We start from the raw sequence: 15,476 nt of genomic DNA, 5'->3' as shown, positions 1-15,476 counted from the left end.
ATGGTCTCCTGTCTTTAGTAGAACTCTTCACCACATCGTTACATTTTTTGATAAGATCGTGCCAAGCAGTGCCAAGAAGCCACTGAGTATAGAAGCATACTAGAGAGTTAGATCTTTAATTTTTTCTAACTACAGTTTCTAGGAAGTCTAATACCTGAAGTACAATCATAAACTTTCAGAGTAGATCTAGCTTAAGAACACCATTCTTCTTACAACCAAAATATAAGCCTCCTACAAAATCCAAACCCAATTTCTCTCTGTAGTATTTCTTCAAAACTTGTTTAGCTTGGAGGTGAAGCCAGATTAAATAGATCTCTGTTATTCAGTGTCAATAGGTACAGGAAGTTTATCTTAATATGGGCAAAACTCTGAATTAGAATACATGCACCACCTAAACATATTACTCAGCATAAACCTGCCTAAACACTTCCAGTGCCACTGGCAGTACTAGCACATAATTCCAGTAGTGAGAAATACTTTGTGAATAAGTCATTTTATTTTCCTTCTGGTGCATGGTAGTTGAGGAGTGGTATGGGAACCAAGTTGTGGTTTGGGGTCCATCTTTTAATCTATTAAATTAAGAGGTAAATTTGAGGTTTTCTTTTTCAGTGGGATCTACTCTTTGACAGGTGTAGTAAAGGAAAGCTGCTCATCCTGTTACTCTGAACTTACAGGCATCTGCATAAGATGTAAATATTTTTTGTTCAATTGTAATCCCACTATAAGGAAAATACTGTCCTATGAAAAGAAGTGCTTTGGTTTGTTAAGGCTGTGTTTACATTGTGGTCCTGTACAGCATAGTATAGAGATGCTAGTTGCACTTTTACATTTTTCTAAAATTGTTAAAACTCCACTTGGTATATTGTATTAATAAAAGCCAAATCCAGGGAATATGTTATGAGTATTTCACAACTCCTAGATTAACTCCTGCTGGCTGGAGTTCTCTGGCCATGTATACAAATTCAGTTGTATTTTTATAAGCAGAGAAGAAACAATAGTTTCCAAACAGAAAATGTTCCTTCCTTTTGAGTTTCACAGTGGAAGATTGTATACTACCTCATGATTTCAAAATACACACTTACCCATTCTTATATGTACTCAGCATCTGCTGTGTGCCACATCCAGGGCCTGGCATTGGAGACACAGAGTGAACCCGAGGCCCCCCTGCCCTCAAGGAAGTCACAATGGAGTGGAGGAGACAGTGCATTTACCTATTAGTGTGACAAGTGGTGTGATTTTACGATAAAGGTATGTACTGGGTGTTGTGGGAACTCAGCAGGAATCATGAGGAAGAAGCCCCAGGCATGGGCTGGGCTCAGTGAATAGATTCCAGAAAAGAAATTTGTTTTTACTGTGTTTGAAAGATGAGTGGGGGTTAAATAGAAATATGCGATAGGGAAGAGTGTTATAAGCAGTGGGAATAGCACGTATAGAAGCCCGGGGGATGAAAGAGTTCACAGAAGTGGGTGTGCAATCTGAAGTATTATAGGAAAAGGCTGGAAGACATGAATGGTGCAACCCATGGCTTTTAGGCTGCATTTTGAAGGCTATGCCAAACTACTGAGAAATTTCAAGGAGGAAAGTGACATAGTACTTCAGATTCCTAAAATTTATTCTGGGAGAAGAGGAGACGGGGTGGGGAACAAGATGGAAACGGCCCAAACAGTAAAGAAATTAATGCTGTGACTCAGGTGAGAAGGGACCTGAGACAATGAAAAGGAGCAAAAGAAGAGCTAGGCAGTACCTCATTTGGCCCTCCTGATTCATTTCAACGTTCCCAGTACTGAGCACCAGATCTGGTACTGGACAGTCAACTATCGAATGAGTAAATGAAGATTGATTTTGGAGGAACTTAGAAAGTTGATTTTAACAGGATCTAGAGCCCGGTTGAATGTGGTGCCTAAGAAAGTAGATGAGGTGCAGAAGGATTGGCTGAGGCAGTCAGTGGGGGACGGGTTGCATTCTTGGGCCATTAACTATAGTAAATTAGGAATATGGAAGGAAGAGCTTGATGGAAAAATATAGTGAGTTTTAGACATATCTAATCAGATTTGTATGAGGATGCCCACATAGGTCCAGTAAACAGTGGATATGCAGGTCTACATCTCAAGAGAAAGCAACATTTGGAAGTAACTAAGTTTTGGAAAACATCATGGGAGTGGATGAGAACACATAAGGATGGATTTCTGTCACCCCTTCTACCCAACTGCATTTCTGGGGGAGGAGTACAGAGGACATCTCCATAAAACATAACAGTGTTGATAAATCTTTGCCATGGGAGAAGGAGAATAAAAAATTCCCAAATAAATTACCCTTCCAAATAAGGGTACCCTGAATTCCACAAAAAACAACTGTAAAATAATAGATTTCTTTAATGAACACCTTTGATCCCCAGGAACGTTTCTCCATTAGCCCTCACAAATTCTAAAGATTTAATAGTTTTGTTGCATGTCTCGGCTATGGGGGAGGCTGAGGCAGGAGTGTCGCTTGAGCCCAGATGTTTGAGGTTGCAATAAGCTATGACCATGCCACTGCACTCTAGTCTGGGTGACAGAGGGAGACCCTGTTTCTTAAAAAATAAAATAACAGATACCCTCAACTAAACTTGGTGTGGCCATGACAGTGAACTTGATCTTAGGTTATTTAACATTTACGACTTTTATCTCTTAGTCCCATCAAGCCTTCAAGAACTATTTCTGAATGTAATCTCATGTCAGCTAGGGAAATCATACTCCAGTGGAAAAGCTTTGGAGTCAAATCTTGAGTCCAAATTTCTGTGCAACCACATGTTAATAATGCGATCATTAGTAAATACCTAATCTCTCTAAGCTTCTGTTTTCTCATCTGTGAAGATAAAACGATAATAAAACACTTGCACAACAAAGGTACTCAATAAGTATTTCTTCCTGTTCTTGTTCTGTTTTTTTTTCTGCCTCTTTCCACATCTGTAATGGCAGGGACCGTAATTATCTAGAAAAAAAAAAACTGTCTCATTCTTGTTTCTCCCACTTTCAGTTCTGTGTAAGTTGTGATCGAGTCTTCAGTTCTGTGTAAGTCGTGATCCAGTTGGGATCATTTTGGGACTTTCAGAGAGAAGGAATCTAATGGAGATTGTTGGTTATACAGATGATGGAAGAACTCGGTGGTGAGGCAACCCAGAGATTCACTGCAGCAGGAAGGCACTACTCTCCCAATGGCTAGAGAGACCCAGAGAAAACGTCATGTTACCAGAGCCCAGAACTGAGTCTTCTGGCAGAAACTAGAATCATGATGGTCACTGCTTACCAGGATTTTGAGATCATGGGACAAATGTCATCACTGCTTGAGATGACCCCTGTGCCTTTTTGGGTGAGAAAAAAGGGGGACAAAATATTTTGAATTCTTTCTTCCTCTTGGCCTCCAATCTCCCATTGACCAAATGAGCTGAAAGGCAGTCGAAAAAAATAGCCTTGGAAATACAGTTGTTAGGGTCATTGTAATATTGCAAAATAAAGCAGAAGAAGGGCAGAGAATGAATCTGAGCCTTAACCAGCATATTAACTGCCTACCTTTCTTTCTTAGTTTTTCTCTTCCACGAATTTTCTACCATTTCTACCTTCTCCTTCTCTTAAATACCAAAGTGACATAATTGCTAAGAGCTATAGTTAGCTAGGCAGCAAGATGATAGGCAGTAGAAGGTTGGAGAAGGAACAAAATTGCGTGGGTGGGCATGAAGAATGGAGTCATTCCTGCTTTAGGCCTCTGTGATTCGTAACATCTTCAGACCATTTTTGCCTTGTAGAGATTTTAATCTACTGAAAATAGGTGTGACTAAAAATGCATAGCTGCATCTCCATAAGGTACACAGAAAAACCAGTGTTGGTATTTTATGGCTATTCAATGCATGAGAGAATCAGTATATTTCTAAACCTTGTAACAAACTGTTGTATAAAAAGAAACCTGTAGATTCCACTTTGTTTTTCCTGACTTGGGAGAGACTCTGGTCTATATGTTTAGATTCATGCTTTGTTCTAGCCCTTCGTTATGTCTTATTAACTTTACTAATGGAAGGCATCTCTTTGTTTGAATTGCCACAATTTAATTATATTAGTGAACTCAAATTAAAACGGTAAATTTCCATATGCAGTGTTAGAAAATAATATCATGGTTCATCAATGTCTGGAATTCAACTGAATAGAATAAATAGATTTTGCTCTAGGATTAGCCTGATAATATGTTTATATGTAAAACAAAATTGATTTTAATGATTGCAGTACAAAAACTTCACTTCTAAGTTGAGTTAAATTAACAAACTCCTGATCTATCTCTGCTATGAAATACTAAATGATTAGATATTTTAGCCCAGCCATGCAAGTTGGAACACATTCTCTGTTCCAAGCCTATAAAAAAATTAGTACTGTAAGAAATCAGACAACAGACCTAGGCCAGGGGCGGTGGCTCATGCTTGTAATCTCAGCACTTTGGGAGGCAGGAGGATCACTTGAGACCAGGAGTTCAAGACCAGCTTGGGCAACACAGTGAGATCCCATCTCTACATAAAATTTAAGAATTAGCTGGACATGGTGGTCCATGCCTATAGTCCCAGCTACTTGAGAGTCTGAGGTGGGAGGATTGTTTGTGCTCAGGAGGTTAAGGCTGCAGTGAGCCATGATCACACCACTGCACTACAACCTGAGCGATAGGGCAAGACCCTGTTTCTATAAACAAACAGACAATAAATAAGCAACAGGCCTCAGTGAAATAACTAAAATTGTCTTTCTTTTATACCCCTTTGAAATCAGTGGCAGCAGGATGACCTTTAAACTTATGATCATATAGACATGTCAAAAGAGTTTCAATGAGACATAAATTTATTATGTGATTTATGTGATCCTACTAAATAGAAAAAATATGATAAGTACAGAACTATATGAATTTTGAAGAACTTTGGAGCTACATAGAAGATCTTTAAATATTTCAAGAGATAAAGAAATGCAAAATCCAAACGTGATAGGGTATTCTGGAGGGGAGTGCAGACAAAGAATTAGATAATAACATAACTACTGATATACTAATAAATGTTTAGCAGTCAGCTTTTTCAGAGGTGGCCAGAACCTTGATTTGTTTCATTTGCCAATTTCTGTGGTATAATTTCTTTTACCATGATGGACTTCTCACTACCAGAGTGATGTCGCTGAATGTGGAGTTGGAAAGAGATGCACAGCAGTACATCATTATAAAGTATTTCCAGCATATGGATGTAACAGACATAAATAACCTCAAGAAATAGATAATAATAAAATGTAAGGAAACAATTAGTGATGAGTTTAGAGTATTTATTGCCTTTGTTTTTAACATAATTTATTTAATTGTAAGTTTCTATAATTACATAATGGTTGTGTTAACAACTGGCTTGCACAATTCCTGAAATTTTAACAATCACTCCTCACGAAACTTTTAAAACCAGCTCCAACATAGCAATAATAATAATTTAAGCCTGGGGATGTGAACTATATGTGCTCTGAGAAGAAGGACATCACTCCTATATTCTGAATAATTAATAGGGCTTGGTATATTCTTTTAACATCTCAGACGGCACTGCAGTAAATATCCCGGTCTACAGCTGTGGTTGTGTATATAAAATCTCAGCCAGCCTAGGTTACAAACAAAAAGTTTAATTTAGATAGCATAATAGCTTCTTTAGCGAAGTACCATTTCATCTTAAGAAGACTTAGTTAAGTATTTAAGATAATCTGAATGATTGAATTGATAATTGTTGTTACAGAAAGAATCTCTATATTTAACCCTAACATTGAAACTGTGTGTTAATACTTCACATATAGTAATGTATTAGTATTATAATCCCAATTAAAAACTGAAATTTAAGTAACTGATATTGCCTTAGAAATTTAAGCTGAAGGCTTGTGACATTTAAATTTGGTATTATAATATATGATAAATTTATCATCTTTTAAGCTTAATTTACTCAATTTATAAGAATGTTTATATACTTAAGAATACTTGTTATAGCAGACAATTGCAAAACAGTATTTAAAAAGGAAGTCAAGTATATTATAAATGCAATATAAAATAGTAAAGGGAAAGTTATTAAGTTTTAACTGGGATCCTATAATACAGTCCTCTTAAAGTCTTTTGTTGAGATATAAAAACAGAATGTAAATTTTTAAAATTAAACTTAAAAATGCAAAGAAGAACTAGATGTTTAAGTATACTGAATGTCAGATTTTTAAAACCAAATCCACTTCTGAGCATAAAAGTCAATCTCAAAAAAAAAAAAAACCAAAACCACAAAACCTCATTTGCAATCTGTTTTCCTGGGAATTTGTGTTTGTAGATGAATGTCAATACAATTTTCTGATACAAGCATGTAATTTTATTCCAGTAATATTCTTTTGAGAACATGACATGAGTAGAAATGAAAGGCAAAGATGGAATCCATGTAGAGAATAAGGCAAACCTTTAGAGCTGAGATTGTATATTGCCAGAGAATAGACATCTGCTTGAAGTACAGCGAGTTTTAGAGTGGGTTTTAAAATATTTTCCAGCAATTGTCATCAGTTAGTCATTGGGAGCATTCAGATGAAAATTAAAACTTCTGACTTCCTTTGCAAAACTTCATGATCAGACAATATGATCAGACATTTCTACATATCAACAATCAGCTGGAGCTGAGAAGTGCCTGCCCCCAGAGAAGAGACAGCCCTCTCCATGGACCTTGCTTGCCTGATTCACTCAGCTGGTGCCTCAGACGTTTGAATGTGAGCCTAGTGCAGAGTCAGGTGAAACTTTCAGGGGGCCTGTCTATTTCCAAGTTGTTTACAAACGCTGATTTTAATTCCAGAAAGTGTACTTTGGGTGATTTTAGGGAAAGTGTGGGCTTCATCCAAAGCTACCTTCTGCCATTTTTAAGCATTATTGGTTTAAGTGGAGTTAAAGGTCAGGTACTAAATCGGGCTTGGGGCACGGAAGTACTGGATAGAGAAAGGCAGGTCCCTGGCCCATGTGTGATTTGACTCTTTTGGCTAGGGCTCCATATCTAGGCCTGTGCCCACGGACTGAGGAGAGGACAGACATTTCTGTTTTCCTGCCCAAATGTCACATTTCTCAAGACCACCCTAGCCCACCACACCCCTATCCTGTGCCTATAAAAACCCCGAGACCCTAGAGGGTACACACACAAGCACCTGGATGTGGAGAGAAACACACGGGCGGAAGAAGACACAAGCAGCTGGATATTGAGAGGAACGCACCCGGAAGATCACATCAACAGGCACCAGCAGAGGCTTGCAGGCCATCCATCCGCAGAACGATGAGGAGTTTGGCCGGGTGGTCAGAGGAGGGCCACTGAATGGCCCGACTCCAGGGGATGACCACCTTCCTACTCCATCTCCCTTCTGGCTCCCCCATCTGCTGAGAGCTACTTCCACTCAACCCTTGCACTCTTTCTCCAAGCCCATGTGTGATTTGACTCTTTTGGTACACCAAGGCAAGAAACCCCAGGATACAGAAAGCCCTCTGTCCTTGCTGAGAGGTGAAGCCAGCTGGACTTCCTGGGTCGGGTGGGGACTTGGAGAACTTTCCTGTGTAGCTAGAGGATTGTAAATGCACCAATCAGAGCTCTGAGTCTAGCTAAAGTATTGTAAATGCACCAGTCAGCACTCTGTAAAAACGCACCAATCAGCGCTCTGTGTCTAGCTAAATGATTGTAAATGCACCAATCAGTGCTCTGTAAAAACGCACCAATCAGCCCTCTGTAAAATGGACCAATCAGCAGGAAGTGGGCGGGGCCAAATAAAGGCATAAAAGTTGGCCACCTGAGCCAGCAGCGGCAACCTGCTCGCGTCCCATTCCACGCTGTGGAAGCTTTGTTCTTTCCCTCTTCACAGTAAATCTTGCTGCTGCTCAGTCTTTAGGTCTGCACTACCTTTATGAGCTGTAACACTCATGGCGAGGATCTGCGGCTTCATTCCTGAGATCAGCAAATCCACAAATCCAGCTGGAGGAAGAAACTCTGAACACATCTGAAGGAACAAACTCCGGACACACCATCTTTAAGAGCTGTAACACTCACCGTGAAGGTCCACAGCTTCATTCTTGAAGTCAGCGAGACCAAGAACCCACTGGAAGGAATAAATTCCGGACACATTGCCATAAGTCAGGGGGTCTGATTGAGCTGCTAAACACAAGCCACCTACAGATGGCAAAACTAAAAGAGCACATGGTAACACATGCCTGCGGGAGCTTCCGGTGCTGTAAACATTCACCCCTAGATGCTGCTGTGAGTTCAGAGCCCCAGAGCCTGTCTGCATGTTCCCCCTAGAGATTTGACCAAAGAAGCAGGACACACCCCCACCGCACACCCTGCAAGGGTGACGAGGGAACTTTTCCTGTTTCGGTAGCACTGAAAAGAAATGGAAGAATAAGTCTGACAAATAAAGACCTACCAAAGTTTTCATAAGCCAAGGCATCCACCGCGATGTAGACGGCTTCTTTTCTTCCTGAATTTTCACCTGATCGACATAAGGTTATTAAATTCAACTCATATCATTCTCTTAAATTCATAATGAAATTTAGGATAAAGGTGAATTTTGCAGTTTAGTCAACTAGGAACAAGAGATCATCCCTCACTTAATTGTATTGTTGGTTGAAATATAAATTTCATTAGCAGTTGCCATAATCTATCCTCATTTCCTTTGTTAGGCTTGTGAATAGACTCACTTTACTGATTCTGAAATACCTGGACTATGTGAGCTTATGTGGCTAATCTCTTCATTCTTTTTACCACATGGGGAGAGAGAATAAGATAATCATCTGAGGCAAAGCAACATATATGGGTGGCAAAAGGGCAGCTATAGCAGCAAGTTGCACCTGCTACATATGGATTTAACCTCATGAATTCTTTAATGAGGCAAACCTTTCATGTTTCTATTCACTATCCTGTAGGTATACCTGGCAGTTTTGCTACAGAGTGACTCAGGATTAAACTCCAAATATCCTCAATATAGATTAGTCATAGGGAAGGGCCAGTGACTGACAATAGGCACAAGAGAAGCACTAGGCTTTTTGGTTTTAAATAAATAATATACTCTGAGTTGAAGCAATTAAATCTTCCTCCAAATACAACTTTCTACCTAGATATTAAAGAAACAGAATAACAGTTGAGTTTTGTAGAATCTGATATATTTCTCTCAGATTTTTTCTCCTTCAGAGGTACACACACATATGCTTATTTTAAGTCAATCATCCTACAATTGCTCAAGTTAAAACCATATAGCAGAAAACATTTGGAATTTCAATTAGATATGTCAAGATTGAAGCAACTGGGTCAATTGCTTGCTGAACAATCATGAACATGACACTGATCCTATTTTTTATATTATAAAACAAATATAATAATAAAAAGTGTCTTAGAATTCATTAGATAGAACAATATAATATTGAGAGTATTTGACCATTTTGACCTACAACAAAAACCATTTCTTATTCGAAAATATAGCAAGAGGAGAAATTAGAAAGTAAGCTTCCTCCCCTCTCTAATTATTTTAATATTATATCTTTATTATTTCTCTATTCATATTACCTCTTTGTTTTATATTGATGTCAGTAGTTATTGATATTTATGTCATATTATACTGTTGTCATTCAATAAAGAGAATATCTTATACTTAATTTATCATTAGAATTTTTCAATTATTAATTGTTTCCTTCATCATGCTCCTGGGGGAATCAAATTGAGGAATATCCCAAAGAGAGAGCAATTTACTCTTTTTTCCTTTTTTTTTTTTCAAGATGGAGTCGCGCTCTGTCACCCAGACTGGAGTGCAGTGGCACGATCTTGGCTCACTGTAGCCTCTGTCTCCTGAGTCCAGGCAATTCTTGTGCCTCAGCCTCCTGAGTGTCTGGGATTACAGATGCATGTCACCACAACCAGCTAAATTTTGTATTTTTAGTAGAGACAGGGTTTCGCCATGTTGGCTAGGCTGGCGTGGAACTCCTGACCTCAGGTGATCCAACCGCCTCAGCCTCCCAAAGTGCTGGGATTACAGGCATGAGCCACCACACCCAGCCAGTTTACTCTCTTATGACTGACAAAATCAAAGGTAAGTCATATAAACATTTCCTACATTTTGACTCCTTTTATGTTGCCTTTTCTTATTATTGTCCCTTCTCAACTATCTTTAAAAAATTTCCCCAACTGTATTTTCAGGAATTCCAAATATCTTTGATATTATAAAATGTTTCCTGAAAAACATATTAACTGGCAAATTCTTTTGGGAATTGGTGGCTTCAATAAAATGAACAGATTTCTTTAAGTCAAGATTTTTCTAGAACTTCCATATCCTAAATTTGCGTTATGAATCTCCAAGAGAGAAATAGAGTGCAAAAGTTTTTCCAAACTTATACACACTGACACATTATTTTGCTTTAGAGTGCCTTTTAAGATCACAAAGAATATTCCCTGGAACATAGTTTGTCGATATATGTAAGTAATTGTCCTTTATAAGATACATTTAATTTAAAAAGATCCTGAACCTGTCAGATAGATTGGAATGTAAGTTCAGATCTTTCTTGTAGTAGGACAATAATTAGGTAAACAGGAAATTTAGCACCAACTTTGACATCATATATCTTAGTCTGTTTTGCATTTCTATATTGGGATATTACAGACTGGGTAATTTTTAAAGAAAAGGAAGTTATTTCTTACAGTTCTGGAGGCTGGGGAGTCCAAGAGCATGGAGCTAGCATCTGGTGAGAATCTTCATTCTGTGTCATAAGATGCGGAAGGCATCACATGGTGAGAGAGCAAGAGCATGTATATAAGCTCAGGTCTCTCTTCCTCTTCTTTAAAGCAATCAGTTTCATCATGGGGTCCCATCCTGATGACCTTATCTAATCCTAATTACCTCCCAAAGTCCCCACCTCTAATTAACATATGAATTTTAGGTTTCCAACCATGAAATTTGGGGGATGTATTCAAACCATTGCATTGTGGTTCCAGAGCTGTTACATGTTTTATCCACAACCTCACTCAGCAAGAAAATCTCCCTTCTAGAGGGAGAAATTTATGGTGCAGAGATCAACTGGATGGCCAGGTAGCTAAGGTAACTTTGCAATGTAGATATTCCATCTCCAGATCATAAAGAGTGGTTTCCAGTTGCCTTTTGCAAATTTCTATTTTCTTATAATGGCAGAACTGAAATGTTTTAAAATAAATTTTTGTCCATGTCCACTTTGGTTTGCAAAAGGCATTTTGTGTTTAAAAGAGAGCATGTTGGTAGTCCTTTACACTGAACAGGACAGATGTAGAAGCTATAAAGACTTCTTCATAAACCACTTTTGGGGAAGAACCTAACAAACAAAGCATGAGGATATATCACACTGAGTACATTAGAGCAAGACTTTTACACTTGTTCTTTGCCAAAAGGCCAAGAAGTGATTAAAGCAAGATTTTTTAAGTTAAAATTTAATATAGTTGTAGAAGAGTAAGCTTCAATTGATTTACTTTAATGGCATGAAGAAAGGAGTTATTCCTCCTCTATGTCCAAAAGTGACATAGAAACAAAATTTGGTAGGAAAATCAAGAAATCTTAATTGAATAATTTTTAAACAGTTTATTATACAAAATTATAAAGCATAACTTTACAGTTATGCTTTATTCAATTCAACTGAGATGCATCCTTCAATATCCACTACATGGTTTGGAACATGTTAAGCTTGCTATTGATAAAACAGTCCGTTTTTTTTTTTTCTCACAGTACTGAACAGCTGTGTACTGCCAAAGGCACAGTGCATATATACGGATGGTGACTACACAGTTTACCTGGGAAACTCTTAATCATGCCTTGTGTCAGTTAAAAATCTTTGTATTTGGCTGGGATTGGTGGTTTACTGCATAATATCAGCACTTTGGGAGGCTGAGGTGGAAGGTTTGCTTGAGCCTAGAAGTTCAAAACCAGCCTGGGCAACATAGCGAGATGCTGTCTCTCCAAAAAAAAAAAAAAAAAAAAAAAAAAATTACCTGAGTGTGCAACTGGTGTGTCAGGAGCCTGAGGTGAGAGGATTGCTTGAGTCCAGGAGGTGAAGGCTGCAGTGAGCCAAGATCACACCATTTTACTGCAGTTTGGAGGACAGAGAGAGATCCCATCTCAAAAAAAGTATGCATTTCTAAGATGAATTATATGGTTATCCCATGAAATACTCATTGCTATCCCATGTGAGTTTAATGTAGCTAAGATGCATTTAGCATGACCCACTTATGTTACCACACCTTTGATTTCAATTGCTTTTCCTATAAAGGTAGGTTAAATTTTTTTCATGCTATAAGCATTTATGACCTTATTTTTAGGCTTTATTAAGCACAACAGCAGAAAAATGAATTCGGGCTATGTACATTTATTCAGATCCTACTACACATTATATTATTTTTTTACTTTATCTGCTTTGTTGACCACTATGACTGTGGTGGTAAAAATTGTTAATGACAGTCAGTGACACAAGGTACCATCTGGTTTATGAGAATGAAAGAAATGTATTTAAGCAGGATATGGTTTCTCTAATCACCAATCTTTTGCAGACTGACTCATAATCAATTACCTGTCATTTCAACTTGGAAGTATATGGTTTGTTGTATTACATCGCAACGTTATTTCATCCTGGCTTCAGAGAGGAAGGACTGAAATAGAAATATGAAATCTTTGTTTCAAATAAAAGTGATTTGCTACAATTTTGGCAGACATAACTGGAAAAACAATTTGAGAGGAAAAATGAATGAATTTGAAGTGTGCTCTGGCAATAATAGGTCTCATTCATTATAAAATACTTAAAATGTGCTGTGATGTGGTGGTGAAACTCTGACAGAGTTTAAATATAGCCACACTAGCTTCTTTGGTCAATATTAGCTGAAATGCCAATGCTAACTAAACACACAAAGACGTCATAATTATTTATCTAGGAAAGGAAGTTGTAAAATAATGTTCTTCTGGATTCCTAGATACTTCAAAAGAATTTCTCCTTGAACTTAGTAACATTACCAATTTGCTAATACATTTAGAATTGCAATTGAATTGATATATTTTATGGGGTTCCTTGAGAAGTAAAAGTAAGAATGTGCTTTATGCCAGGCATATAACAAGTGGTTTGCTTTAGTGATGTAAATAATACACTAGTGTACTACATCACAATTTAAAATATTCATTTGGTCTTCCCTGATTCTAAGTGGCTTTTCTCTTAGCACTCATGACATAAGAATGGCATATTATGATTTCTTGAAGCCACATTTTAATTTTATTTGTGAGAAAAACAAAAACAGAAATGAAGACTGGGAGCTTTAATAACTTAAAATGAGACTTTCATTGTATGTATTTAAAGATTTCCAAGAATTAATAATCAAAAATATAGTCTTAAGTATCTTTAGGATATGTCAATATATTTATTGAAAATTAAAAAAAAATTGTTATTTTAAAAAATAGCAGATACTATAGGTTGTATCACAGTACCCCAGATTCCTGTAAAGCAGACTCAAGCTCTCATTCTTCTGCTCCATTAGTGAGTTCAGCATTGAAATGCCTAAAGTAACTGATTTTTTTAAAAAAAATCATTTATTTCAGTTACACAGGCAGTGTCTTAATTTCTCTATGTGTTTGAGTGACTTTTTCAGTGAAGCACAATGAGCTTTTCAGAAAAAGTATTACACATCCTGATATTTGACCTAGCACTATTGCTGTAGTACCAGTCTGATACTAAAACACACCAAATGTCTGTAGGGCAAGTTTCTTGTGACCCTGAAGGAATTTCAGGTCAATAAATTAGAGAGAATCTCAACATTTGGTTATATTCTAACATACTGATCCCATTGAAATTATTGTAGATTGTTTTCCAAACATCGTGTGCTTGTTTTTGTGGGCATGAGATGAACAAAAGAACAGTTTCTTGACAGGTTAATGGAAGAATGTTGCTCACTTTATAAAATAAAACAAAACAACACAAAAAACACATCTCTAACCAAAGCATGCAAAATATGACTGGTGCCATGAGGAAGAATCATTTAAGCTAGAACTTCCTGTATTTAAGAAAGTTAACAAAATTGTTTGAGGAATGAACTGGTTTTGTGTGTGTGTGTGTGTGTGTGTGTGTGTGTTAGACACTGCTTATTACAACTAAGTGAAGAACTTTGACAGGTGCTTTGCAGAGTAAAGTTAAAAATTACTTTGCAGAGTAAATATAATTATTTCTTAGAAGACTTTTAGCAGTGTATTAGTTTATTGTCTTCCTTAAAACAAAAGAAGGAAAAGCTAAATGATACTAATTAAATTTAGAAAAAAATTTCCTCCCCGATATAGTTGATAAAGTATAATATTCACAAAAATTCTTATTTGTGAATTTCAGATTCTTTGAGAAAAATGCTTTTGTATCATTTCAAAGTCAACTTTGATAGCCAATAACATCTTTATGGAAAACATTTTATTTGTTCAGGTGCTTTGGACAATCCAACCCAATGTGGAAGTTTGCATTTCTTATCTTAAAATGTCCTCTCAAGAGTTAGCATACCACATCAAATTTAAAAGCCATAGCTGTCTCTGTGGCTTAATGGTTTTATCCCTGCGAACTCTGGCTTGTTGAAGTATTCATTAGGAAGACCTCAGCTGTCTGGCTGCTGTACCTCAGGGACTGTTTGGAGAGCTTACAAACTCTCTAGTTCCCCTGCGCAGAAAGCCTGCCAGCCAGTCTGACTAATGAAGACAGTCAGACTGTCCAGTAAGCCTGTTGTGCCATTGCTGGATTATTTAGCGAAGTGGCGCTTTTAGTGTCCAAGCAAAGCCTGTTTCATCATTTTATGCAATTTTCTTGGCCAGTTTCTATAGAATATGTTGTTACCTGTGCGGAGCAAATGATCAATGTTTATGTCTATAGCTAGAACAAATCAGGTAAAACAAAGCTTCGGTGGACAGTATAAGATAAGGGGATTGTAGCCCTCAGCAGTTGTCTGTAAAACGGTAAGATCTATAAAATTGGAAAGTCTATTTGCTGCATTGGCATTCAAAGTAAAACAGGAAAAATAGTAATAATAATAATACAAATTGTGATGAGTTCAGTGTAGCAAGAATCTTTGATAAAACCATAATTTCAGTTAAAAAGCACATTTAAATGTGTTCAATAAAAGCCTCATATTTCTATTTCTAGAGCATCTCTTTCACAACACTTTAGAAGCATTAGTTCCTTCATTCTAGTGATGGTAGTGGGTGACAAGTATTATCCTCTCCATTTTAAAGACAGAAATTGATCATCAGATAAGCGAACAATTTATTCATCATTGCAGAGTCAGAGGTAAATAGAACCTGGAGACAAAGAATATGAATAAACTGAGTTTATCTCTTTGTTCATTTCATCCATAATTTTTTGAAGAAGACATACTGCCACTAATTCATCTGGAAAAAAAACATAAAGATGAGTCCTCCCAGCAGCTTAGATATTAATTT

The 15,476-nt window shown here is 37.2% G+C and overlaps 2 annotated features.

Annotated features, from left to right (window-relative positions):
* Window positions 3,575-3,744: an enhancer, noted in NCBI's record as "experimental_86531 CRE fragment used in MPRA reporter constructs". NCBI's record gives its function as "activates a minimal promoter by MPRAs in K562 erythroleukemia cells, with activity observed for the introgressed 5:57746148 variant allele {active_cell/tissue: K562}" and the evidence as "EXISTENCE:reporter gene assay evidence [ECO:0000049][PMID:34662402]".
* Window positions 7,268-8,467: an enhancer, noted in NCBI's record as "BRD4-independent group 4 enhancer chr5:57741340-57742539 (GRCh37/hg19 assembly coordinates)". NCBI's record gives its function as "activates an origin of replication core promoter dependent on BRD2, P300/CBP, MED14 and CDK7 cofactors, and independent of BRD4, by STARR-seq in HCT116 cells {active_cell/tissue: HCT116}" and the evidence as "EXISTENCE:reporter gene assay evidence [ECO:0000049][PMID:35650434]".

Source organism: Homo sapiens, chromosome 5 (assembly GCF_000001405.40).
Source record: "Homo sapiens chromosome 5, GRCh38.p14 Primary Assembly".
Classification (NCBI taxonomy): Eukaryota; Metazoa; Chordata; class Mammalia; order Primates; family Hominidae; genus Homo; species Homo sapiens.
Note: the sequence above shows the minus strand (reverse complement) of the source record. Positions and strands in the feature narration are given on the sequence as shown.